The following is a 25,666-nucleotide window of genomic DNA, read 5'->3' on the forward strand; positions in this document are numbered from 1 at the left end:
AGGCGGGCCCGTCCCGAGTTCACGCCACGTGAAAGGTGCTTGGAACGCTTGTGCCAGAGCTGGCAGTGAGGGTTGAGGGTGGGAGTGGCCGAGCACCTAGACACCCGCAATGCAAATTTTCCTTCTCAGTCTCTGGATGGTTTTCTGAGCTGAGCTGCGGGCTGAATGTCAGGTGATGCGTCCTGACCTCTTCCTGAGCACCTAGTGTGTGCCCTGTGCTGGGCCCAGGAGGCATGCTGGGGGCAATGTGGGCCTCAAGGAGGAGGTCGGGTGATGAGGGGCCAACCCAGGTATGCCAGTCAAGAAACCGTGGAGGCTGGAGAGACCCTGAAGGGAGCAGGGCACAGTCGTGGGTGGCAGGCCTGGGTGTGCCTGATTCCACTGAACCCTCGTAACAGCCCTGGGTGCAGAGTGTAGAGTGCTGGGTGAGGACGGAGGCTGTGCGTCTGTGATGGCCCCAGGTGACAATGCTGTTGGGATTTGAACCTGAGTTTGTGGACCACAGAGGTCCCGGCCACACTTAGTTTCCATGCCAGTTTTGTAGTAACCAGCAACCTCACTCGAAGGGTGGCCAGCATCTTACCTTGGGGCTTCTATCAACGTTGTCCTGGGCTTCTCGCCTGCTGGGGTGCAGCGGCCTTGGGCATGTGCCCCTGTCCATGGTGGCTGGCCGGAGGCCGGGAGCCAGGGCTTTCTGTATGTAGCATGGCACTTGCAAAAACTGTGATCCCCCAGCAGGCACCACAGAAGCAACCAGAGGGAGGGGCATGGGCTCCGGGCCGGGTCGTCACAGCCTGCGTGACCTGTCGCTCTTCTCTTCCAGGGGCATGGTCTAGTGGCCCAGTCAGGACGCGGAAACACTCCCTGGAGGTTCTGACCCACTCCCTCTCAGCCTCCGCCTGGTCTCTGGTAAGTCACTCCCAGAGGCCGACTGGCTCAGGGTGGGTGAGGACTGAGGATGGAAGTGGGTGGCTCCTGCTGTGCCGTGGGGTCCTGCCCATGTGTGGGGACTGGACCCAGCTCAGCAGAAAGAGCAGGGAAGACTGGGCGTGGGGGGCAGCCCAGCTAGCACCCCTAGACAGGTCAGGAAACTGCGGCTCGGAAATGCAGAGAAACAGCCCCCCAGGCCCCACAGCCATCTCAGCTCTCGCCCTAAGCTGGCCAGGTCTTTCTGGGTAAATCGCGTGACCTTCGGTGCTTCTGTTTGGCGATTTGTCAGGGGAATGAGGGGCCCAGAACTTTGAGAAGGACGTGTGGGTGAGGGCAAGGAGGGCACTGTCTTAGTGTCCGGGTTTCTTTGTCTTCTATCCCCTGCAGCCCCTGTACCTGGAAGCTTCCTTCTCCCAGGCTCCTGTGCATGGTCAGGGCCACTCAGCCCTCTGGACCCCCACCCACGCCAGATAAGCTGTCTGCGCTGGGAGCTGGGCATGTGGCTCTCCCCTCAGAGCAGTTACCGTAGGCTGCCGGGCCCAGGGTCTGTCTGAATCCGCCACCCTGCAGCCCCCCAGGCCCCTGCCTGCTCTGGGTGCGAGGAAGGCTTGAGGGAGGGCAAAGTGCTTACAGCTTGAATGCACCACCCTGGCCTGGCCACTGGTCGCCTCTCCCCCAGTGTTAGCCTGGCTTAGGGGCTTTTTCCATCCGGAATCCTTCCTGGCCCTGCCTGAGCTAACTCCGTGAGCTCGGGAGGGCTCCTCATGACCCTGGTCATCCTGCCAGCTCCCGAGACAGGAAGGCCTGGCCATGTCCCGGGGCTGCCCTCGGGTCTGGAGAGCCTGCCAGCCATGCTGTGGGGCTGCCCTTCCAGCGTTGAGGGTTTGGTTTTGTTTGTAAGCAAGGAACCAGGTATGCGATGCTGGAGAGTGTGTAATTCTGGCTGTGCCTCTTCACAGCCCCTTCCAATCTCGTGCATATTAAGGTTGATAAAAACACCCTCTTCAGGGTCAATGCGAGATCAGACCTGGAGTGAAGTGTCCCTGTGGTATCTGGACCAGCAGGACCTGGCTGCCCCACAGCTCCTCCTCTCTCTCCCTCCTCCCTCTCATGGTCTCATGACTATTATGGTGACTCTTGTCACTCACCACCCTGCCCCACCTGCTCCTGCATACTGTGAGCATCAGTTGGGGCCATGGATGTAGCAAGGGTCAGCTGTCATAGGCTCCCGGGGGGACACCTGGGGGAGGGACATTTGGGGACAGAGCCCCATCTGGCCATGCCCAGCCCCTGAGAGCCCTCATCACCGACTTGCATCTGGTGAGTTTGGCAGGGTCCTGTATAAGGATTAAAGTCCTCCAAGTCCTCATACAAAGTCGCTTTCCAAAAGTCTGGAATTTTCTTGGCCCTAGACACGGGAGATGCTCTTTATAATTTTCATCTTCCCACTCAGAAGGAACCACCTTTGAATACTCAGCCAGGCTAAAATTTGGACCCAAAACCTGTTAAAGCATCACTGTCTTAATTTCAGTGTTCATGATGGGGTTCTGGGCTGTGTGAGGGGTGGAGGGCAGATACCAGTGGCAGGTTTCATCTGTGGCCCTGGTAGATGTGAGTCCCGCAGCCGGTCAGCCCAGGGCCCAGGGCAGACCCCGGGCGTGGCTGCTTTCCCGCTGGGCACCAACGCACGCACGTGGTGTTTCCAGGGCAAAGTGAGCTCCCCACCCTCTGCCCGTCCCCTGCCCCGCCCTTAGATCTGCATCCCGTGGGTGGGGTGGGTTTTCCTGCCTTCCTCTTCCTGAGGGAGGCGATTTCTCCTTCCGCTTTCTCCTTGCCACAGTAGCTGCTGGGTTGGGAGGAGACATCCAGGCTGGGGCCTCAGCCTCAGGGTGCCAGTTAGCGTGTGGTTAGCTGAGAAAAAAGTATTTTTCTCAGCAGAAAATAGACACAACTGCATGTGAAGGGGCCACTTCCACTCCTTCATTCTCCATCCACCAGCCTTACTGGAGCTAGAGAGTGGGGGAACATCTGGGTCCGTGTTACCTGGATGTCACCTGCATACAAATGTCCTGGCCCGAGGCCACTGTCAGCACGGGTGCACAGGGGAGGCGCCTGGCCCGGCAGGTCGTGCTGAGGCTGATACCCGTGTCAAGAAGCTGGAGCAGGCGAAGAGATCAGAAGAGGGTAGAGGAGGTGGTCCGAGGTGTCCATTCCCATCCCCAGACCCCTGGGGCATTTCAGTGCACGCACAGCAAATAATATCACTGCACCACCACCACCACCACCACCACCACCACCATCACCACCACCACCACCACCATCACCACCACCACCACCATCACCACCACCACCACCATCACCACCACCACCACCACCACCACCATCACCACCACCACCACCACCACCACCATCACCACCACTACCATCATCACCACCACCACCACCACCACCACCATCACCACCACCACCACCACCACCACCATCACCACCACCACCACCATCACCATCACCACCACCACCACCATCACCATCATCACCACCATCACCGCCACCATCACCATCACCACCACCGCCGCCACCACCGCCACTGCCACCGCCACCATCACCGCCACCACTACCGCCACCGCCACCACCACCGCCACCGCCACCGCCACCACCACCACCACGAGTTGAGGGACTCTGGGATCAGAAGGCACTTTCCAGCACATTCACACCATTGGCCGTGGATGTTGTGGGTCAGGTGATGGGCACTGGAAGGGCCTTCCGCTTCTCTCTGCCCCTGGCCCTTGGTCATGTACAGCAGGCCGCTCCCCGGGCAGTGGAGAAGCAGCACCTGCATACTAAGGCTCGAGTCCCAGCCTCCCCTACCAGCCTCCCTCTCCACGTCCCCAGACACTCATGCGTTCCTTCCCTTGAGGTGGGTTCATGGAGCACGTACCCTGTGTCAGACAAGCTTCCAGGCTCTGGGCTTCTGATGGAGAACAGACCAGAGTAAACCTGGCCCCAAGGACCTTGAGCTCCACTCAAGGGGAGACAGACAGTGAACTCAACAAAACAGAAATGAGAGAAAGGATCAAGCTGGAAAGGGGATAAAGAATGAGTGTCGGTTTTGGATAGAGTGCTTGGGGAAGGCCTTCCTGAGATGAGACCTGACCAAAGGCCTGCAGGAGGTCAGGGACGGGCGTGCTTCTAGCTAAGGAGCAGCTGGTGCAAAGGGCCTGTGGCAGACGTGCACCCGTGGCAAGGAGGGGGCGAGCAGGCGGCTCAGCCAGGTCGGAGTGGGTCACACCTGAGGGGCAGGACGCTGGCAACCCCGACCGCTGAGGAAGACAGGTGCGAGCAGCATCTCGGCACAGCCAGACCCCCACCATACGGCAGCCCTCTGTGTCCCTTAAATAAGGATGCCTCCTCCCAGGCTTAAGAGATCATTGTTGCTCATAGTGATTTGTGTAGCCAACAATTCTTCTGGAAGAAGTTAGATGAACAGGGCCATGGAGATTTGGGGCCGGAAGAGCAGGACCCCAGGCTTGCCTCCCCTCTAGTGCTGGCCAGGCCGTGGATCCCAGGCGGGCATCTCAGAGAGCCATCTGAGCGGCCTTTCTGGAAGTGCCCTCCTAGGCAGACGCTGGTCATGAGGCAGGGCAGCGGGGAAGGGACAATCCTCCTGTGTTGTACATTGAGGGTTATATTTAGGGTGACTTGGGATGACTTGGCAGTATCACTTCCTGTGGTCGTCCCCTCCAGCCCTCAGCCACGGAGGGCAGATCCTGTCTGACAAGCATTGTGGGCAGACACGTGCCTGCACACACGTACACACCCACATGCACACATACACACACGCACACACATACACACATTGTGGGCAGGCACAACTTGGCATTCTCATCTGCCCTGGAATTGGTGGAGGGCTGGGGACATTGTCCTGGCCCTTCTGCAGGACCGCCAGGTGCCTGGCGGGGGAATCCTAGCCGTCAGCATCTCCGGAGCATCTGCTCCATGTCGGGCTCTGTGTGAAGGGCTGCATCCAGATCCCACATGAGCAAGACCGGCCTAGCCTCCCCATCTGGTTGGGAGATGCCAGGCAGAGGTGGAAGGAAGGGCGGCTGACCTGCCCCTTAGTCTGCTCAGCCACACAGGCAGCCACAGCCGAGGCTGCACAAGGACACTCCCCTGACCTTGCTGCCTGCTGGCCCCGGGTCTCCAGGCCAGGTCCGAGCCAGCCAGGCTCCTCCCCACCCATGTCACCGGCCTCTCTAGGTGGAGTCCACAGTGATCTTTGCTCCCCTTCCCCAGGCATCCAGCACCACACCAGGCACAGGGCCTGGTATTTCTGGGACAGCCCAGATTACACGTTTTCTCTCAGTTACCCCCTAGAATATTCTTGGACTTCTCAGACCCCATGTGCAAATTTTTAGCTTAGAAGTAATCACTGGGATCATAGACGATGTTTAGCAAATATCTGTTCTTTTGGGTGTTCCTAGGCCCCCAGAGGGTCTCCGGGAAACTGGCTCTTTTGCTGAGGCTAGAGACTATCTGGGCTAGAATGTGTCTGATGGGGCTCTCGGAGGGTGCACAGACAGTGCCGCGGTGGCCGAAGATCCACTATTCCAAGGCCGGATCTGCAGAGGATTTGGAAGTTGTCTGTAAGGAGCGCCTAGATCACCCGGACCTTCTCTCTCCCTCCTTGACTTCCTTCCTGCCTCTCGTCAAACAATTACTGTGTGCTTCCTGTGTTCTAGGCGCTGTGCTAATAATTGGTTATGGGATTATTCCTAGCCACACCCTGGGTAAATGGAACCCAGCTCTCTGTCCTTGGGAAAAGGGTCAGGAGAGAACTGGGGCCCAGCTGGGAAGCTGGAGGCTTGAGGCTGCTGGTCCATGTTGGAATGCTGTCTCCCTCTGCCATCCAGCACCCAAGCCCGGCGCCAGGCTCAGAGCAGGAACTGAAGCTTTTGCTGTTGTTGTTGTTTTTGTTTTTTGAGACAGTCTCGCTGTGTCTCCCAGGCTGGAGTGCAGTGGTGTGATCTCAGCTCACTGCAAGCTCCGCCTCCTGGGTTCAAGCGATTCTCTGCCTCAGCCTCCTGAGTAGCTGGGATTACAGGCGCGCACCACCACGCCCGGCTAATTTTTGTATTTTGAGTAGAGACGGGGTTTCACCATCTTGGCCAGGCTGGTCTTGAACTCCTGACCTCAGGTAATCTGCCCGCCTCGGCCTCCCAAAGTGCTGGGATTGCAGGCATGAGTCACCGCACCCGGCCAGGAACTGAACCTTGGTAGGAGAAGGAAAGAAGGAGTTCCTGTCTTGCTTTCCCGACCAGACTGGAAGCGCTCTGAGGGCGTTTTACACTTCGGTGTCTTCCCAGCACTTAGCATTGTGGCCTGCATGTAAGGGGTGTTCCGTGACTGCGTGTTGATTACACTTTGTGTGTATGGGTGGGTGCGTTGCCACAACTCTCCCTGCAGAATCTGTGGCCTCTGGTGCTGTGATTTAAAGACTAAAGATGGCAAAGAGTGGCTTTTATGAGCTGCCCCACTCCTGATTATAAACACACTCTCTATGAGTCAGAGGCCTGGGTGATCATGGATAAGTCACTTGCCAACAGTTAACTCCAGACTGTAGCTGCTGGGGCCACCGAGGGCGGCTGGAACATCACCATTCTGTGCCTAGCGTTTCAGCCGGGCTGAGGCCATTTTATTAATAATGATTTATTGTTTTTATTGCTTCCCAGAGATATTAAACATGAATCAAATAATGCATGTGATGATTCACTGGAGGTTCCCTTCCAAATTTAAAAAAGAATTAAAGAAAAAGTTTTTGACGGGTGTGCTGGTGTGGACACCAGGCAGGCACCTGAGAGCCCTCCCACCTTGAGCTCAGCCGTGGGCAGCACAGCACAGGGTGGACCTTGCCCTGCAGACAGAGCCATGCAGCCTGCGCAAAACCCCAGGGAGGACGCGCGTCTCACAAACACCTCTTCAGTCTAACATTTACAATGGTATTTCTTACAAATGGTTTCCACCCGAGATATATTACAATGTGGCCAAACCCCATTCATTTGGGACACATAAATTCAAAATTTGGAAATAGTTCCTTTGGGGCTCATGAACTGATCAAGTTTAGTCATTTCTCAAGCAGGGACCTGGCAGAAATGTTGCTTTTTACCATCTACTAAGACAAGAGCTAGGCAGCTGGTTCTGCTGAACAAGGTCCCGGGGAGAGGGACACCAGTCCTGGCTCAGTGAGCAGCTCCTCAGGTGCTTTGGAAGCCTCCTCTGGGGATAGACTCAAAGAAGTTTTCTATTTATTTATTTATTTTTCTTTATTTTTAAATGTTTTTCTCAAGGATGTTTTTTAGAGCTAGCTCATACCTCAGGGGCCACACTGTCCAAACACATATTGGACCCTGATGAGGAAAGTGAGAGCCGTCAGGGTGTGTGACATAGCCACTGTCACCCAGGCCTCCAGCTCCATTCTGCAGTTGAAAATGATGCCCTCATAACAAAGAGTTCTTTTGTGTGTGTGTGTGTGTGTGTGTGTGTGTGTGTGTGTGTGTGTGTGTGTGACGGAGTCTTGCTCTGTCACCCAGGCTGGAGTGCAGTAGTGTGATCTTGTCTCGCTGCAACCTCCGCCTCCCAGGTTCAAATGAGTCTCCTGCCTCAGCCTCCTGAGTAGCTGGATTACAGGTGCCTGCCATCATGCCTGGCTAATTTTTGTATTTTTAGTAGTGATGGGGTTTTACCATGTTGGCCAGGCTGGTCTTGAACTCCTGACTTCAGGTGATCCGCCCACCTCACCCTCCCAAAGTGCTGGGATTACAGGTGTGAGCCACCGAGTCCGGCCAACAAAGAGTTCTTATCCGTTCATTACAAACGCCCACTCTTTCCAGTCCTTACCTGATCAAGAATTCAGAGGCAATTTTTCAGGTATTTTTTTGACTCGGACTTTACAAATTTGAACTACCATTCAAGTAATTGGTCTGAATTCCTAAGTTTCGATGGTATTTTTCTCTTCCTTCTTCTGGCTGCCTCTCCTCCCCATACCCTGCATTTGTTAATGTACCCATTTGTTCCATATTCTGTTTGTTCTTTATTGCTCTATACACTGCTCCATAATGTTCTCTATCATTTGTCCATTCATTACCCATGAAGGTACATGCAGAGGTCACCAGCCCAGAGGTTTGTAGCAGGGACAAGTTACTTGCTGGTGGTGGTCTCCCCAAAAGTTTGGGCCTGCGAGTCATTGACACCTACACACTTTGAAAACACCCCAGGATGAAGTCTGGGACTGGAAGGAGCTCCCACCTTAGCCAGACTCTGGCCTCCTCCCCAGCTGTGTCCCCGCCAGCCCTTCTCCAGCCATGCCCTTTTGCCTCCCAGCACACTGAGGATTCCTCCTGGAATGCCCCTCACCCCGTCTTTGCTGGGTGAGTGTTTCCCCAGCCCCGCTGAGCTCAGGTATCAGCCCCAGCGCTCTGGGTAAGTCTGGGACCATCTCCTACATTGTCTGCAAAATCCTGCAGAAAGCCTGGCCTGTGCTGGTCAGCAGGATGCTGCGTTTCCTTTTAAACAGACCCAAAGCAGTCAGCAGCCACAGACTCCCCAGAGACGGAGATGAGAGGAGGGACCTCATGCCCTGAGGCAGCCCCAGCCTCACTCCCATGCCCTGCAGGCGCTGAGCAGCCCCCAGATCCCGGGCTCCTTTGCTGCCCCAGGGTCGGGCAGTTCTTGCATCTTGGACCGAGTGGGCTCTGCCCTGCTGTGGCATGACTGGGCTTCTTCTGTCCTTTTTCTTTATTTTCTCTTTGAAGAACAGGAGTTGGAATTTCACTCACCCTGCCCCAGCTGGATGTGTCTAGGCCACCGTGGTCCCAGGCTCTCTGCCCAGCTGGGCCTCAGGACCAGGTTTTAATGCCGCTGCTTGGGTGTGCCGAGCGAGAAGGGCTCGCCAGGCAGTGCAGAGATTCCACCGAGCCCAGGCCGCAGCCCCCACCTCCCGCCGGGCTGTGCTCAGTGTCAGGAATCGGCTCCCAAGATGGCCGCCTTTCTTGTAAAGCTGTGCCAATACCCCAGGCATCTGACTGGTGCTTTCCAGCTGGCACTCCTTTTACAGATTCCATTTCCCTTTATCCTCACAACTGCTCAGTAGAACCTGCAGGCAGGGACCCTTATTCCCATTTTACAGTCAAGGAAAATAAGGCCCAGAGAAGTTGAGACAGCCAGGACCATATGGCTGGAGACGGGGCAGGCTGGGCAGAGCCCCCAGCAGGGCCCCTGGGTCTGCGGGCTGCTCCCAGCAGCACCCCTCATATACACACCCTCATCCTGACTGCAGGCCCCTGAAGCTGGCATTCTGGTTCAATTTTACAGAGGAGCAAACAGGCTGGGTCTGGAGCGTTGACACTGGCAACTCTAGCCCAGCCTTGCCTGACTCCAGGGCATGGCTCCAAGACCCTGGAAGAGCTGCCTGTCCCTCCATGGCCCCTCCAGGGCGTGCTGGGTGCTGGCAGGGCAGGCTGAGGCACTCGACAGCAGAGTTGGCCCCGTAGTCTCAGTTTTGCTCCCGCTAGGGTGAAACACGGTTCCCTGGGGAAGGGCTGTTGCTCACCTCTTGGCCTGGAACATCAGGGTGGAATTTGCAGACGGAATTCTGCCATCTGACGCGTAGATCTTCCCCCCAGGCATGGGTCAGTGCTTGAGTCATTCTGCAGCTGGCACAAAGAGCCAGGAAGAATGCGCTCCAAGATGCCTGGGAGCTGGCATGCCAAATCACCAGGCGTCATCAGCACAGCCAAGCCAGGGTGGGGGCCTCGGGCAGGAGCAGCGCCCTGCCAGCTCTGGCTGACTGCACGAGGGGCCACATCTAGAGGGACTGATGAAGGGGCGTCTAAAGCCTCAGTATCTCCAGCCTGCTGTGCCCTCTTACATTTTCTCCCAAAGAGCAGTCAGCTTGCAGTATGCGCCAAGTCCCCGCAAATGGGACGTTGGGTGATTCACATGGTTGTTTCAGCTTTTGAGTTTTTGTTGTGTGATTGAATAGTAATAGAATTATTCTTGGTGTTCTATGGAGCATTACCGGGTAGTGGGGAGGTGGGCACACTGAGCCTCTACTGTTTCTCCCCTTCACCCCTCCTTGCTGTCATCAACATGCGTTCTCCTACAGTCATGCTCCGCGCTAATTCCTTTAGTCATTCCTTCCAGCATTACTGAAACTGGAAGAGTCTTTTGTGGCATGTGGGGATTCCTCGTCGTGCAGGGCTTGAGTGCCACAGGACCCAGTGCTCGCTGTCCCCATGCCCTGGCACACACTGTTCCCTTTGTCCCAGCTGGAGAACTCCTGGAACCTTTAAGCCCTGGCTCAGCCCTCAGCTCTGTCCCATCCCAGCTGACCTCTGTGCTCTGCGCCCGAGCTCCTGAGCCCACGTAAGTCTCTTCATGCCCATCACTGCTGTTTCATGGGCGTGTGTGGGGGGTCACTTCAAGGAGCCCCAGGAAGGGTCTGTGTCTTGTCCATCCACGTGTGACTACACCCAGCATGGAACAGGACTCGGGAACCACTGAGGTGTGGGTGAAGGAACCAGTCCAGAGACTCCACTCTCACTTCAGCCTGATGTTTCTGGGGTCTGTCACTGAAAACCCCAACTTCGCCTTCAAAGCGAGATCCTGGGTGGGGGCAGAGGAAGTCCCAGGCTCTGTGGCCAGGACTCCACACCCAGATTTCCACCGGGCTCGCTCTAGCCTGGCCCTGGCACGGGTGCTGCGTGGCTCTGCTCCCCGCCTGGCATCCGGCACCCTTCACCTCTGTAGAAACACGGAACTGTCACAGGGACAGACGTACATGGGTCGGGGGTTGCTTTCAGAAAGTCTATGGTCTCATTTTGGTCCTGCCTTTGAGCTTCCTTTTCCTGCTGGGTTAGGGTTCCGGACGGAAGGGGAGCATTCTCTTGGGCGTTTCCCTTTTCCTGTCTCCCTGTTCTCTCCCCAGAGGCTCATGTATGTCCGTTTCACTCACCTCCCTTTCTCTGCTTGGGAGGCAGCTCAAAGAGCTCCTCTCCAAAGACTCAAGCTGGAGTGATGTTCGCTCTATGATGACGCCGCACTGGTCCAGGGAATGATCTCACTGGAGAGTAGCAGGAAGTCCCCCATCCTGTCCCCCACCCCACTGGCTGAGGACCATATAGCTGGGATGTGTTCACCTGGGAAGGAGATTGGCACCAGTTTGATAAATGGACACCCCCAAGTCTGGCATGGCCCCAAAACTCTACTCTGCTGCAGCTGTTTCCATGCCAGAAAACAGAGATTTCCAGAATACCGAGTCTGAATGTGCCTTCTTGGAGCAGCTTCAAATCTGAGCAGGAGAGCACTTGACCATCCTAACCCCTGACCTTCCTCCAGCAATTCCTAAAACTGGAAGAGTCACAGAATGTTAGAATAAGAGGGATCCTAGAAAAAGAACCACTCACTCATTGCTTTGTTCATTTGCTCAGGCACTGTGCTAGGCGCTTGGAATACACAACCATTCATTCAAACATATTTATTGACTGAATTGTGTGCCAGGCCCTGTTTTGGGCCCTGTGGGGGTACAGTGGTGAACAAAAGGAGGCAGACAGTCAAGAGATTTTGTAAATATAGTGCCAGGTGGCAGGAAATGCTGAGAAAGGGGTCAGGGTGAGGGACCAGAGGGTGAGGGTGGATGCTCTTTGAGGTGGGTCCTTGGAGGAGGTTTCCCCACGACTGTTGAGCAAGAACATGAACTTGGAGGGAGTGAGCCTTGCAGACACTGAGGGGAAGGAAGAGCAGACAGGTGGAGGGAACTGCAGGTGCGAAGGCCCTGAGGCTGGAACACGCTGAGCAGCTTCTCTGACTGGGACAAATGAAGGATTCTCCTTCCCCCAGGAGCTCCCAGTCTAATGAAGGAAAAAGACAAAGAAGTGACGCGTTCAAAGCTGAGTTCATACTAGAAAAACGCTGTTAGAATTCAAAGGGAAGAGCAGTTGTAGGGGCTGGGAAAGGCAAGCCTGAGGAGTGACCTTTGCATTGGGCTTTGGTGGATGAGTAGGGGTTGGCAGGGTGGCTGAGGCGAGCGTGCCACACGGGTGAACTCATATCTGCAGAGGCACAAGGTGTGCAGGGACAGCCACCCACACATTCCTCTTCCTGTCGCAGTAGCAGCTTCTGCAAGAGAAAGTACAGCTCTTGGGGATTTCCCTTTTCCTTTCTCCACCTCTTCCTTCTCACCAGCTTCATTTAGGGCATTTCAGCCTTGAGAGGGTGGAAAAGAAGGAGAGATTGGTAGAGGAAGGGGATTTCTGTGCCCTGCTGGGTCTCTCTCTCTCTCTCTTCTCATATGTTATGTTTTTCTTGTAAGGTTTTGGGGAGTTGTGGGGAGTTTAAGAGGCTGGGGATGGGTAAGAAGTCAAGAAGGTTTCGGTTGGATTTCTCAACAACAGGTCATTGGCCTGGAGCCCCTCCAGTGGGTAAAATGCCGTGATGCAACAGCTTTCAGGAAGGCCTCCAGAAATGAGCTCTAGGTCAGTGGGTTGGGTTTAGGTGCAGGCACGCCCTGGAACTGTCACTCTAGAGGTGTTACTAACCTCCTCTTTCCCCGGATCTGACTCAGCAGGGTTGGCTGTTCCAGCTCCAAAGAGAAGGAGGAACCTTTTCCTTCTGCAGCCCCTCCCCACCAGCCTCATTCCTTAGCTGGGGTCAGACCTGGGGTCCTCACTGCAGCTGGCCTCTGGCAGCGTTCTCAGGCTAGCCCTCCCTGCTGAAAAGAGAACCGTGTGGGACTCACAGGTAATTATGAAATACAAACGCCATGATCTTTCACTCAAGGGCACTAAGGAGTGAATAAATAAAGGATACCACAGGGTGCTAATGAGCTTGAAGAGTCCCTGTTTGGTAGCCCCAGATCCAGGGTCCCTGGTATCACCCACTGAATGCTACTTCTACCCAGCACTGCCCACGGGAAATAAAGTGGGAGACACATACCTATGTGATTGTAACTTTTTCTATAGCCGCATTGAAAAGTAAAAAAGATGAAATTTAAAACTTGTTTGATTTAAACCGTTAGATCCCAAATGGTATCATTTACCATTTCACATGTAATCAAGAAAGAGAAAGTATTAATGAGATATTTTATGTTGTTTTTTTTCATATGAAGTCGTCAAAATCCGGCGTGTATTTTACACTAAGGGCACATATATGAGTTCAGACTGGCGACGGTTTATGTGCTCAGTAGCCACGTGTGGCTGGTTGTGACCATAGTGGACAAAGCAGCCCTAGCTTATAGGTGGAGACACGGAGGCACCTGAGAGGGGCGGGGTCTCAGCTCAGGCCCTGGGAGCCTGTTCAACAGCTCCCTCTAGCGTCGGCCCAGCCACACTTCAGCCTGGATGGTCCCAGATGCATCGGCTCCTCCCTGCACCTGGGTCCTGGCAGCCGGCACAGCCTCCCCGCAATCACCCAGGGGCAAAACGGGCCCCTCCTTGGAGAACTACCGGGAAGCTAAGGCTGCAGGCAGCTTGACTGTCACTTGCTTATTTGGAGGAAAGAAGGACACAGGCCCGAGTTGTTTTGAAAAATGCAATCAGCCCTAGGAGAGGGGCTTAGCTGCAGGGGCCGTGTGGGTCCAGCGGTCACCGGGAGAAAGAACTGGGTTGGGTGCTGGATAAGAAAGAGCACAAACCTGTTTGTCTTCCACCGGCCCCTTCTGCCTTCCACCTTCCTGTTCCACCCCAGGAAGAACAAGCTCTCATCTCAAATGGCCTGAGCCCTCTGATTCCTTGAAGTTCAAATTCACAACAAACGCCTCTCCAGCCTCTTCCTGAGCCTCAGTCTTTTTTTTTTTTTTTTTTTTTTTTTTTTTTGAGACAGAGTCTCGCTCTGTTGCCCAGGCTGGAGTGCAGTGGCACCACCTCAGCTCACTGCAACCTCCACCCTCCGGGTTCAAGCAATTCTCCCGTCTCAACCTCCCGAGTAGCTGGGACTACCAGGTGCGTGCCACCGCACCCAGCTAATTTTTTATATTTTTAGTAGGGACGGTTTCACCATGTTGCTCAGGCTGGTCTTGAACTCCTGAGCTCAGACAATCCACTGCCTTGGCCTCCTGAAGTGCTGGGATGACAGGTGTGAGCCACGGCGCCCCGGCCAGCCTGGGTCTCTCATAAGCATTTGGTGTTTCCCACCTCTCTGGTCGCCTTCCCTCAAAGCATCTCAGAGTCTGGTTGGCCTGGCAAGCTTCGGGGATCTGACTGATGAAAGCATTTTGGAGCAATGGGATGAGATGCCAACCAATGCCGTCAGCCGGCACTGAGGTGGGATTAACAGGACAATCAAGCCCTCGGTTCCCAGGAGCCTCACTGAGCAGCTGCTAGAACTGTGCCACTAAACAGGCTTTAATTTACAGGCAATACCGACTCTGGGTTAACTATTTCTCACAGGGCTCCCCAGCTGCATGTTTACATTTCTTTCCTTGTTCCTCTTTTTCTTCTTCTTCTTTTTTTTTTTTTTTTTTTTTTTTTACAATTCAGCAGATTAAGAACAATAGCAGGGTAACTGAGAACCACAGAGGTGGCTGTAAGTGACTCATTAACTCCCTCTCCCATGTTTCCATCACCGTGAATTACAACGTCATCTCTGATGCCCTCAGACAGCTGTTACTAGTTTGATCCGAGCCTTGCTTGAATATGAATCTTTTTAAGCCGAGCAGGAGATGGTTCTGCTCTCAAATAGACTGCCCTCCCCTGGGCCTCCCATTTCTTACCCCACCATCCTCCTTGGAGATGAAAGACTTCCTGAGAAATGAAGGCTGGGTTTGCCTAATTACTGGAGCAAGGTGGCTGTTCTGCTGGGAAACGTGAGTGGTGGCTTTCTGTCTCTGCAGAAAGGCTTGCTTTTGCTCGGTCGTCTTACTAGACAGCCAAGCACCAATAAGGTTGGCTCCTTTGCTTAATGAATGACAGAGGGGTCACAGCAGCATGCAGCATTCCCCCCGCCCCCCGTTTCTTGTGAGGCAGCCTGCGTCGGGCCCGACAGCCTCCAGGAGAGAGCTAAAATGAGGTCCTTCAGATTACATATTTCATCTGGGCCCTTGTTAATAAGCAAATGCTGGCTGTCCCAGTGAGTGACTGGGAGTGTGTGTGTGGCCGTCACCTTCATTTGGCATTCATGGGCTCCATTTACCAGTTTCATAAAAGTTCCAGTGGGGAGGCCATCTTGCAAAGCTGTCCTGGCGAGCACAAGCAGAGTGCTGGACACCAGCCAGGAGCACCCTGGGTGGCCTCCACGGCTGCTTATGGTCTTGGCATGGAAAGGGCCCAGAGGAGGTTACAGGACAATGGGAAGGAGGTGGGCTCTCCACTCAGACCTCCTGGGTCCACAGCCCACCACCCCACCGAAGCCTCGGTCCCTTGTCCCTAAGGTGGAGCTGACATTGCCTCCTCTCGGCCTAGCCAGGAGTGACCCCACTTTCCCAGCTCCTAGAATCTTCACTGTGTCCTCCCCTGGATGTGGCCTACAGGGACTGGGCCTCCTGCAGCCTTTGAAATCCTCCTTGTCATTCAGTTGTGATTCCAAATGCCGTTGTCCTAGGCAAGCCGCCGAGTGCCCCGGGAATGAGCGACTCCCCTGGACCCCACTTTATTCACTTTTTATGCCCCTTCCTGGGCATGCCTACACCATAACTCAAGCCCCCCAGGGAGCTGGTGACTGGGGACCGGCATCCCAGTGCTCAGCCTGGGATTCGGCACTCAGAGGGCCCGACAGCCTGGAATACACTGAGCACCCCGCTGGCACCAGGCCCCAAGGACAGGCTGATGTTTCCACTTCCCTGGAGAAAGATCCTCCAGTCCCCTGCTCGGAGGCTGATCCCGGCTGGCTGCCCGCTTGCTCAGGGCAAGGAGGTAGGCTGGAGAGGGCAGACTTCCCTCAACTCACCCATCTTCTGTGGGTTCCTCACCAGCCTTCCTCTGGGCCTGTTGTTCTCCTGTCCAGTGTCTTTCCAGAGAAGATTCCTCCCCCAAGCTTTGGAGATGGGGCTGGGGTGGGGGTGGTTACCTGACCGCTGAGTCGCAGTACAGGGTTCCATGTTGGTCAGGGGTGGCTAATTGCTGTAAGAAGCAAGTGCCAACCTTTGCTTGGCCCAGTGAAGTGGTGTTTCCTGATGTGTTGCAGTGGGATGTCACCGCAGGAGACGAAGGCTCTATTCCACGCAGTCACGCAAGGACTTAAGTTTCTTCTTTTTAGAAGGTCTTTCGTCTCACAGCCTTTCTCAGCCGGGGTTCCAGGAGGGAATCAAGGACTCACAGCAAAGGCATCATGGTGTGCAGGGAACGACTTTCCTCCTGCATACCTGGAATGAAACCAGTTACACACCATCCTTAGGTACATGACTGGTTGGGGAAATGGGCACACCAGTCATTGACTGCAGGCTGTGGTTCAGATGAGAAAGCCTGGTTGAGAAATGCTTTAGGGTCTATGCCCTCTGGGGCCTCCAAGTCCTCCCCTGGATAGTCTGCTTCCAGGTGCCCAGCAAGAAAGGGCAGGAAAGGGCGTGTGCAGCAAGGGCTGCCCTGACAGTTATGGAGGCTCAGGCCAGAAGTGTGGTCATCACTCTGGCCACATCCCATTGGCCAGAGTGTAGTCACATGGTACCACCTAGCTGCAAGGGAGGCTGGGAAATGTAGTCCGGCTGTGTGCCCTGGAAGAAAAGGCAATAGAGTAAGAAGAGCACATGGTCTCGGCACAGGCTCTATTCTTGCACATTCCTTCAGACTCTGCCTCCCACACCTCCTGAGGCTCTGGGGATACCCTATCCCTGAGCCTTCTGGAATTTTGGGGCCCCAGTTGCCCTGTTTCTCCTTCCTGGCCCCCCTCCCTGTTCAGCTGTTTGCCATCTCCCTGCCCACTTCCCACTGATATGTGTTGGGGCTTGTGGATGTGATCAAGGTCATAGGCACAGTCTTTCTTTTCTTTTTCTTGTTCTCCTTGTTGGGGTGGGGATTTTTTCAAAAGGAAGCGGCAAAGGTATTGTACTATTTTTGGGTCCCTACACTCTTCTGCCTCCACATTCTTCTGTTGTGTTTATGCTGCTAGACCTGGAACCTTAGGATGAGCAGGTCTTGGCATCAGACTTTGTTTGCATCAGCAGAATCCTTTCTTTGAAAGAGAACAGATGCAGAAACAGATCAGAGGGTTGCTGCTCTGGTCTGTGCTGGGCCTGGAGGCCCAGAGTCCTTCCTCCTCCCCTGCCCATCCTGTGGACCCCCAAAGCCTTAGGAAGGTCCCTGGGGCTCCTGGGACACAGCTCAGAGGCTCCTGGCTGGTGTCACTCCTCTCTGTGAGGCTTGAATTCTCTCCCTTGCATTCCGAAAGTGGGTCACACTGGAATACCAGCTTTGTCCAAACCTCCCTGCCTCTGGAGTTAGCCAAACCTTAAAGCAGGTTCTTGTGCATGTGTGTATACACAGCAACTGCAACCACAGCAAGAGTGTCCATTCACCCAACACAGACACCCACCTTGTGCCAGGCCCAGCTGGGTCACCTGGGAGAGGGTGAAGGGTAGGAAGCCCTTCCAGAGGAGGTGCTGAGTGAGGCAGGAGGCCGCAGGCGCACACGTCTGCCCTCTGGCACACGCAGGAAGGTGCTGGGAATGCAGGGAGCTTCTCCCCAGCAGACCATGATGCACTCCGCCTGTTACCTTCTAGCGGTGTGCTCACTGGGTTTGGCACTGCCCCTAATCTGGTACCTCCCTTTCTATACGCATCTGTGATTTCAGGCAGATAAGTGTTATGAGTTTGGCATTCCAATGGGATCGGTAAGAACATAAATCACCGATCCATCCTGGGATAAATTTCTCCCTTCGTTCTGAGAGGTGATTTGGTTTTCACTGAGGTGAGTGGATTCTTAAGGCAGTGATCCTCAACTCCCAGGGCCTAGAACTTCACAGAAGGTGGCTCATTTTGATAATGAAAAATGCAGGGGTGCAAATCAGGCAGAAAGGGCCTGCCACTAGCCAACAATGTGTCCATCACCATGTCGCCCTTGCCTGGGCCAGCCTCCCCTCTGCTGCCCATGCAAGGCCTGGGGAGGAGGCCAGACCGCCTGGGTCCAAGCCCTGGCTTTGCCTCTCAGAGGTTCCGGGGCTCTCCCAGGGTTGGTTTACTTGTGGTGAAGCGTGACTAATAGGTAAAGTATCTGACAAAATGGGCCCCACAGGCCATGGTTGCTGCTTCTGGCTGTCCCTGCTGAGAGCAGGTGTAACGTACCTGGCATCACTCCTGCCCCAGAGACACCGATAACACATGTTTGTCAGCTGTAGGTCAGTTCCCCAAGGGTGGCTGCTGTGCTACTGTAACACGGGACTGCAGACTGGGCACTTAAACTACAGAACTCTGTTTTCTCACGGTCTGGAGGCCAGAAGTCCAAGGTGTTGGCAGGGTTGGGTGTTGGCAGGGTTGGGTGTTGGCAGGGTTGTTTCCTCCAGAGGCCCCTCTCCTAGAATTGCAGATGGCTGTCATTTTGCTGTGCCTTCACACGGTTTCCCCTGTGTGTCTGTGTCCTCATCTCCTCTTCTTATAAGGACACCAGTCATATTGGATTAGGGCCCACCCTGGTGACCTCATTTTAACCTAATGACCTCTTTAAAGACTGTGTTTCCAAGTACAGTCCCATTCTGAGGGACCTGGGGTTAGGACTTTAACATGGGAATTTGGGGGAAGCACAGTTGAGGCCATAGCAGCAGCTGTCTCATTCTGCTCACAGCTGGTTCTCTCTGGCCACGTGCCAGAGAGGAGTACGATGCCATCCCCTTAAACCACACACGGACATGCTGCCAGGAGGAACGTCATCACCTTTCAGCTGAAAGGAGTGAGGAATGAGGACAAGCAGGTGCAGAACACAGCCTTCTCACGTACTGGTCCATTCTGCACGTGCGCTGCTGCTGTTACAGCGGCAGACGGGAGGCTGAACTAGAGACACCTAAGACAAACCCTGCTTTCCCCTCCAGATGCTGGCTGCAAGAACGCCACAGTTTGAGAGGAGTGTGGACAATAGAAAGCCTTGAGAGCAGCTGAGCTGACGAAGGGATGGGAAAATGGGCCCTTTTGAAGCCTAGGAATGACCAAGTGGAGATGTGCAGGGTTTGGGGGTGCCCCAGCTTGAGTCTCAGTGCTCTGAGGGACATAGCGCAGAGTGGGACAGCCCGGTGGGTCAACCCCTGCCTGGTTCTGCAGACTTGGAGAGGTGGGACTTCTGCCCCAGGCCGCATGGAGGGCCGGCCCTGGGCTGGGTGTGCCTCACGCTGCCTGGGAGCCTCAGGCAACCTGCTGCAGCTGCTTGTTTTGCCACTCACTGGCCTGACTGCGGGAGCTGGAGGGGCTGGGAGGTCATTCCCTACTCCACAGCTTAGCTCAACCTCCCAGGTGCCCCGCACCCCCATCCCTCCCTTCCCATAAAACCAGTTATTCCTCATCCTCATAAGCGCTCCTAGGACACTTGCCATGTTCTATCAGTTTGGGGGTTCTCTGGGGCAGCCATCCACAGATCCATGCCCCGCCTATGAGCCATCTCCCCTCTCCTTCTCACCCCCGTGCTCCCCGTGTGGTGTCGGCCCCCGAGGCAAGGACCGTATGGGTTTTGTTCACTGCCCACACTCCCTCTGACACACAGGAAGTTCTGGAAAAGCTTCCGCATGGTGAAGGAGCCACATGCGGTTTGGTCGGGTGCCCCAGGCCTCCTCTTGATCATCACGACCACCCTGCCATCCCTGTTATTCGGGGGGAGTCCAGAGCTCCAGGAAGTTGACCACCTCCCCAAGGTCCCCCGAGCAGGGGTGGGTGGAACTGGCTCTGAGCCCACACTCAATGCCTTTCCCCTGTGCCCCGGAGCCTGGCTTGGTGCCACCCAGGACTTGTTTGTGGAAGTGACATGTGAACACCTAGCGAGCTCCATGGGCTCTGCGTGTGTACGTCTTTGCTGACTCAGTGGCCCCACACAGCAACCCGAGGGCCAGGGCAGAAAGCACAGGAGGAGCCACCACGGGTGCTGCAGGGCCTCAGGCTGGGCATCCATCCTCTACCTGTCCTTCTGCCGTCCATCTGTGGGTTCTCCCTCAGGTGCCACGCAAGGCTGGTCCTTCACAATGGCCCAGGCCCTCAAACTCAGTGGTCAGGAGGGTTCCCACCACCTCAGGGCTTAGCGGCAGTCAAGGTAACCTCAGGTCCTCAGGCTACCTTTGCAAATAGGTCCTTGCAAAGACCCTAATTCACATTCACAGATACTGGGAGTTAGGACTTCAACATCTTTTAGGCGGGCCATGATTCAACCCATGCATCTGGGCCTAGGAAGTGGAACTGCCCCAGTGAGCGATGCCCTGGGCACTGTGCAGTTCTGGGGGACACAGCCCTGACAGCCGGAGGGGGGCTTTCTGGGCACAGAGCTGTCTGGGATCCGCCAAGGCAACACAGGAAGGAGTCCAGAGCTCACCTGGGTGAGACCCGAGAGCTGTCAGTGACAGCAGAATCCAGAGGGAGCCCACATCTCCAAGCCAGGTCCAGAGCTCTTCCAACAGGATAGCAGTCTTGTCAGGCACTCTGGGAGGCCAAAGTGGGAGGATCACTTTGGGGCCAGGAGTTCGAGCAACCTGGGCAACATAGCAAGATCCCTATCTCTACAAACAAACCAAAAACCTCAGTAGCATCTTTGTTGTTTTTTCTCTTCTGTCAGGTATTTTGGTAGTAGTGATCTTCTGATTTTACATTCCCTTTTTTTTTTTTTCCATGTAGAAATCTCTATGGCCATTTCCTCTTGTGAATTAATTGAGTTTCTAAAGTGAACTAGCTGCATGTTAGAACCAGGACTTTTTTGAGCCCTTTAGAGCATGCTGGCAGGCGTCATCCCCAAGCCCCAGGGTGGGTCATATTTCTGGATGATGGAGGCAGGGGGTGCAGGGGTCCCCTATCTGCACATTGTTCTGAGTCTGATGTGATTCCTCAACTCCTCCATGAAACAGGGGCCATGCTTGTCCTCGTCTGGGGCAAACTGCAGTTGGAGAGGCTGGCCTCCTGTGGCTGCATATCCAGAGCTGGGCTTAACTGGCCAGGAGGAGAGAAGAATCCTCTCTCTTAATAAAAAGTCCCCAGGGGCTGGGCACAGTGGCTCACACCTGTAATCCCAGCACATTGGGAGGCTGAGGCAGGTGGATCACCTGAAGTCAGGAGTTCGAGACCAGGTTGGCCAACATGGTGAAACCCCATCTCTACTAAAAATACAAAAATTAGCTGGGCATGGTGGTGCATACCTGTAATTCCAGCTACTTGGGAGGCTGAGGCACAAGAATCGCTTGAACCCAGGAGGCGGAGGTTGCAGTGAGCTGAGATCGCTCCATTGCACTCCAACCTGGGTGACAAGAGCGAAACTCCCTCTCAAAAAAAAACAAAAAAAAAAGTCCCCAGGGCCCATGTCCACCCAGCCGTCTCTCTCCCTCCCGGCCAATGTTATTCTTTCCTCATAAGCCCTTCCAGAGCACAAACACACAAGCACGTATGTTTGTCTTCTTTTCTCATAAATGGTAACAAGCTCTGCTTGCTGTTGTGCAGCTTCTCTTTTCACATAAAAATACACCTTGAAGATTATTTCTTATGAGTACGTAAGATGGGCACCTGAGTAGTTTGCTGTTACAGACCACGTAGGCAATGGCCACCTGCACAGATTATTTGCACAGGTGGGAGTATCATTAGATGTTTCTGGAAGTGGGATGGCTGGGTCAAGGTGAATGTGTGTTTGGAATTTTGAAAGATAAAGTCATAAAGATAAGTAAAAACACCTGGCATCTTGGCTCACGGCTGTAGTCCCAACACATTGGGAGGTCAAGGTGGGAGGACTGCTTGAAGCTAGGAGCTTGAGACTGGCCTGGGCAAAATAGTGAGGCCCTGTTTCTACAAAAAAAAAAAAAATTAACTGGGTGTGGTGGTGTGTGCCCATAGTCTCAGCTACTCAGGAGACTGAGGTGGGAGGATCACTTGAGCACCGGAGGTCAAGGCTTCAGTGAGTCATGATCACACACTGCAGCCTGGGTGACAGAGTGAGAGCCTGTCTCAAAAAATAAATAAATAAAAAATAGATAGATAGATTGATTGATTGATATAGAGAGGATAAGTAAAAACAAAAACATGTATGTACTATAAAACCTGGGATGGGCTGGGCGTGGTGGCTTATGCCTATACTCCTAACACTTTGAGAGGCCAAGGCAGGCGAATCACTTGAGGTCAGGAGTTTGAGACCAACCTGGCCAACATAGTGTGAAACCCTGTCTCTACTAAAAATACATAAATAAATAAATAAATAAATAGCCAGGTGTGGTGGTGCATGCCTATAATCCTAGCTACTCAGGAGGCTGAGTTGGGAGGATTGCTTGAACCCAGGAGGTGGAGGTTGCAGTGAGCCGAGATCACACCACTGCACACTCCTCATAAGTGCCTGGAAGGGCAACACAGTGAGACTCCATCTCAAAAAAAAAAAAAAAAAAAAAAAAACAACCCTGGGATAGAGGCAGAGAAGAAAGGAAGTGGTGGGCAGTGTGGGTGGTCTGTCTTACCTTTCATAATGGAGAGCTGGTGCCTACTGTTTAGAATTCACAAACACAGAGTTCAAAGTGGTTGCCACTGTGGCTAGGGTAGGAGACATCTTTTTATTTCTCATTCTTCCATGTACTTCAAAAATTATCACGCCCTGTATATCAGTTAACTGTTAATGTAAGAAAATAACATGAGGTGGTGCAGTGGCAGCCGTGTGAATGCCGGTTGATCAGTCTTGCATTCAGGACTTGTGGAGAACCGCCCTGGGGGATGGTTTTGAGCAGAGCAGTTCCTCGTTCCCACAGGTGCCTCATTTTTCCCTGGTTCCATTCAGAACATCATTTACTGCCTAGAGCTAATTCCAGATCCTCCTCCCACCCGGGGCAGTTTATCAAAGGCAAAATAAAGAGGGTGGGCCGGGGACAGTGGCTCACACCTGTAATCCCAGCACCTTGGGAGGCCGAGGCAGGTGGATCACCTGAGGTCTGGAGTTCGAGACCAGCCTGGCCAACATGGTGAAACCCTGTCTCTACTAAAAATACAAAAAATTAGCTGGGCGCGGTGGTGCATGCCTGTAATCCCAGCTACTCAGGAGGCTGAGGCAGGAGAATTGCTTGAACCTGGGAGGCGGAGGTTACAGTGAGCTGTGATCCTGCTACTGCACTGCAGCCTGGGCGACAAGAGCAAAACTCCATCTCAAAAGAAACAAACAAATAAACAAATAAAGAAGGTGGGTGGGGGTGACTCCCTGAAAGTTTCTAGACGCCTCTTCTAAAGATAAAAACATAATGTGATGCCTGAAAGAGGGAAGAACTGCCCCAAAGAGTCTGGGATGTGGCTGAGGTGGCCACTTTGCCAGGAGCTGATGAGGGGGATGAAAGTAAGAACTGATTTTAATCTTCGCCTCTCGTACAACCCCTGGTGGGCACCGGATGATGCCCTGTTCCACTGATTTTAAGTTGCATTTTCCCCCCCGCATTTCCACATTCTCCAAGTGAGAACGTGTCCCGCAGTGTGAGGGTGAGCTGTCGTGATATAATTAGAGTCTCTTGGCCTTCTTGGTGGTCCATAAGATAGCGGCATGCCTTCCGATGGGGGACCCGGGAGTTGCTGAGTCGCAGCGCTTGCACAGCGATGGGCTTATTTGGTCTCTCCGGCACATGGCTCAGCCCTGCTCCGTGGCCGTGGGTGGCGTCCCCGGCTGACCCCCTGTCTTGCAGGTGTAGTCGCCGCCGCCAGCCGCCATGGGCAAACAGAACAGCAAGCTGCGGCCCGAGGTGCTGCAGGACCTGCGGGAGAACACGGAGTTCACCGACCACGAGCTGCAGGAGTGGTACAAGGGCTTCCTCAAGGACTGCCCCACCGGCCACCTGACCGTGGACGAGTTCAAGAAGATCTACGCCAACTTCTTCCCCTACGGCGACGCTTCCAAGTTCGCCGAGCACGTCTTCCGCACCTTCGACACCAACGGCGACGGCACCATCGACTTCCGGGAGTTCATCATTGCGCTGAGCGTGACCTCGCGGGGCAAGCTGGAGCAGAAGCTCAAGTGGGCCTTCAGCATGTACGACCTGGACGGCAACGGCTACATCAGCCGCAGCGAGATGCTGGAGATCGTGCAGGTACCGGCGCCCGAGGCCCCGGGTCTCACCGCGGGCCCAGGTCCCCTCCCAGCTCCCAGCCCCCAGCCCAGGGCTTTTTTTTTTTTTTTTTTTTTTAAGACAGGAATCTTGCTCTAGTGACTGGAGTGCAGTGGCACTATCTCAGCTCACTGCAACCTCTGCCTCCTGGGCTCAGGTGATTTTTCCGCTTCAGCCTCTTGAGCACCTCCATGCCCTGTTAATTTTTTTGGTATTTTTGATGGTAGAGAGAGGGTTTTGCCACATTATCCAGGCTGGTCTTGAACTCCTAGGCTCAAGCGATCTGCCCGCCTCAGCCTCCCAGAGTGCTAGAATGACAGGTGTGAGCCACCGTGCCTGGCCTCCCTGTGTTCTTTATGTTCACTCGACATTGGGTCTTTCTTGGCCAGGTTGCTACCTGGTGCACTTTGGAAAGTGAGCAGTTGTCACCTGATTGGGCAGACCCTTGCAAAGGGCAATGGTAAAAGCCAATGTTTATTGATCACTTGCTATACATCAGGGCCGGGTGGAGCACTTTGATCCGTTTTCATCTTCATAACCCAACAACGTGGGTCATTCTCTGCATTTTACAAAGTCTGAGACTCAAATAGATGAATTTCTAAAAATTATATTTTATATATATTTGGAGATGGAGTCTCACTTTGTCGCCCAGGCTGGAGTGCAGTGGCATGATCTCGGCTCACTGCAACCTCCACCTCCTGGGTTCAAGAGATTCTCCTGTCTCAGCCTCCCATGTAGCTGGGATTACAGGTATGTGCCACCGCAGCCAGCTAATTTTTGTATTTTTAGTAGAGACGAGGTTTCACCATGTTGGCCAGGCTAGTCTTAAACTCCTCACCTCAGTTGATCTGCCTTCAGCCTCCCAAAGTGCTAGGATTACAGGCATGGGCCACCGTGCCTGGCCAAGAATTGTATGATTGCTGGGCTCCTTGGCACTTGCAAGAGGTACCTGCCAAGACCTGGGGAAAGCCCTGGATTTGAGAACTCAACAGATAGCTTGTGATGTCCCCAGGAATGCGCAGTCATCAAGTAAAACTGAAGCATTAACGATCACGAGAATCAGCTCAGCACGGGAAAGACGTCACTTTAGGAGGCATCTCTTCACCTTCATGCCTATCAACAGCTCTAGCAGAAAGGCCATGTTTCAGAAGGAAACCAAGTTTTGTTCACTTGGCCAGGTGCCTAGGTATGCGAGAGAGAGTAGAGAGCAGAGCTGCCCCTCCCTGGCATTCCCCTGAGTGCCTCCCTGAGCCCAGGAGCATCCAATTCTAGAACTCATGGCCAGGCCTGTAATCCCAACACTTTGGGTGGCCGAGGCTGGAGGATCGCGTGAGCCCGGGAGTTTGAGACCAGCCTGGGCAATATAGTGAGACTCCATCTCTATAAAAAATTAAAAGAGTAGCAGGGCATAGTGGCATGCACCTGTAGTCCCAGCTACTTGGGAGGCTGAGATGGGAGGATTGCTTGAGCCCAGGAGTTCAAGGTGACAGTGAGCTGTGATTGCACTGCTGCATTCCAGCCTGG

The 25,666-nt window shown here is 54.2% G+C and overlaps 1 protein-coding gene and 1 long non-coding RNA gene across 22 annotated transcripts in view, besides 7 other annotated features; one reads left to right on the forward strand and one right to left on the reverse strand.

Annotated features, from left to right (window-relative positions):
* The window catches only part of HPCAL1 (hippocalcin like 1), a 124,701-nt gene that overhangs the window by 93,108 nt on the left and 5,927 nt on the right, over positions 1 to 25,666 (forward strand). For 11 of the 20 annotated variants that reach the window (XR_007073115.1, XM_047444095.1, XM_005246160.2 and 8 more), the window contains 2 exons: positions 824 to 909; positions 23,723 to 24,124. Coding sequence is in view for 19 of the 20 variants with exons in the window: in XM_047444095.1 (XP_047300051.1) it covers positions 23,747 to 24,124 (378 nt within the window). In the remaining variant the exon portion in view is untranslated. Of the gene's footprint in view, positions 1 to 823; positions 910 to 10,253; positions 10,351 to 12,547; positions 12,724 to 23,722; positions 24,125 to 25,666 lie in introns of all 20 variants that reach the window. The other 9 variants (XM_005246163.2, XM_005246161.2, NM_134421.3 and 6 more) reach the window with 3 other exon arrangements.
* LOC124905972 (uncharacterized) lies at positions 11,447 to 22,454 on the reverse strand. 2 transcript variants are annotated; one of them, XR_007086211.1, is made up of 3 exons: positions 15,985 to 22,454; positions 11,958 to 12,102; positions 11,447 to 11,834 (listed from the first exon to the last, which is right to left on the reverse strand). It is a non-coding gene; the product is annotated as an uncharacterized LOC124905972 (long non-coding RNA). The 2 variants fall into 2 exon arrangements; XR_007086212.1 differs by lacking the exon at positions 15,985 to 22,454 and adding an exon at positions 12,522 to 12,592.
* Positions 11,647 to 12,846: an enhancer, noted in NCBI's record as "P300/CBP strongly-dependent group 1 enhancer chr2:10547784-10548983 (GRCh37/hg19 assembly coordinates)". NCBI's record gives its function as "activates an origin of replication core promoter dependent on BRD2, BRD4, P300/CBP, MED14 and CDK7 cofactors, with strong dependence on P300/CBP, by STARR-seq in HCT116 cells {active_cell/tissue: HCT116}" and the evidence as "EXISTENCE:reporter gene assay evidence [ECO:0000049][PMID:35650434]".
* Positions 11,647 to 13,318: a biological region, named in NCBI's record as "P300/CBP strongly-dependent group 1 enhancer GRCh37_chr2:10547784-10548983".
* Positions 12,094 to 12,705: an enhancer, noted in NCBI's record as "H3K27ac-H3K4me1 hESC enhancer chr2:10548231-10548842 (GRCh37/hg19 assembly coordinates)". NCBI's record gives its function as "activates a minimal SCP1, AML or CMV promoter by ChIP-STARR-seq in naive H9 embryonic stem cells {active_cell/tissue: H9 hESC(naive)}" and the evidence as "EXISTENCE:reporter gene assay evidence [ECO:0000049][PMID:30033119]".
* Positions 12,706 to 13,318: an enhancer, noted in NCBI's record as "H3K27ac-H3K4me1 hESC enhancer chr2:10548843-10549455 (GRCh37/hg19 assembly coordinates)". NCBI's record gives its function as "activates a minimal SCP1, AML or CMV promoter by ChIP-STARR-seq in naive H9 embryonic stem cells {active_cell/tissue: H9 hESC(naive)}" and the evidence as "EXISTENCE:reporter gene assay evidence [ECO:0000049][PMID:30033119]".
* Positions 13,178 to 13,307: a silencer, noted in NCBI's record as "silent region_11163". NCBI's record gives its function as "represses an Ori minimal core promoter by ATAC-STARR-seq in GM12878 lymphoblastoid cells {active_cell/tissue: GM12878}" and the evidence as "EXISTENCE:reporter gene assay evidence [ECO:0000049][PMID:35858748]".
* Positions 23,248 to 23,835: an enhancer, noted in NCBI's record as "H3K27ac-H3K4me1 hESC enhancer chr2:10559385-10559972 (GRCh37/hg19 assembly coordinates)". NCBI's record gives its function as "activates a minimal SCP1, AML or CMV promoter by ChIP-STARR-seq in naive H9 embryonic stem cells {active_cell/tissue: H9 hESC(naive)}" and the evidence as "EXISTENCE:reporter gene assay evidence [ECO:0000049][PMID:30033119]".
* Positions 23,836 to 24,423: an enhancer, noted in NCBI's record as "H3K27ac-H3K4me1 hESC enhancer chr2:10559973-10560560 (GRCh37/hg19 assembly coordinates)". NCBI's record gives its function as "activates a minimal SCP1, AML or CMV promoter by ChIP-STARR-seq in naive H9 embryonic stem cells {active_cell/tissue: H9 hESC(naive)}" and the evidence as "EXISTENCE:reporter gene assay evidence [ECO:0000049][PMID:30033119]".

Source organism: Homo sapiens, chromosome 2 (genome assembly GCF_000001405.40).
Source record: "Homo sapiens chromosome 2, GRCh38.p14 Primary Assembly".
Lineage (NCBI taxonomy): Eukaryota > Metazoa > Chordata > Mammalia > Primates > Hominidae > Homo > Homo sapiens.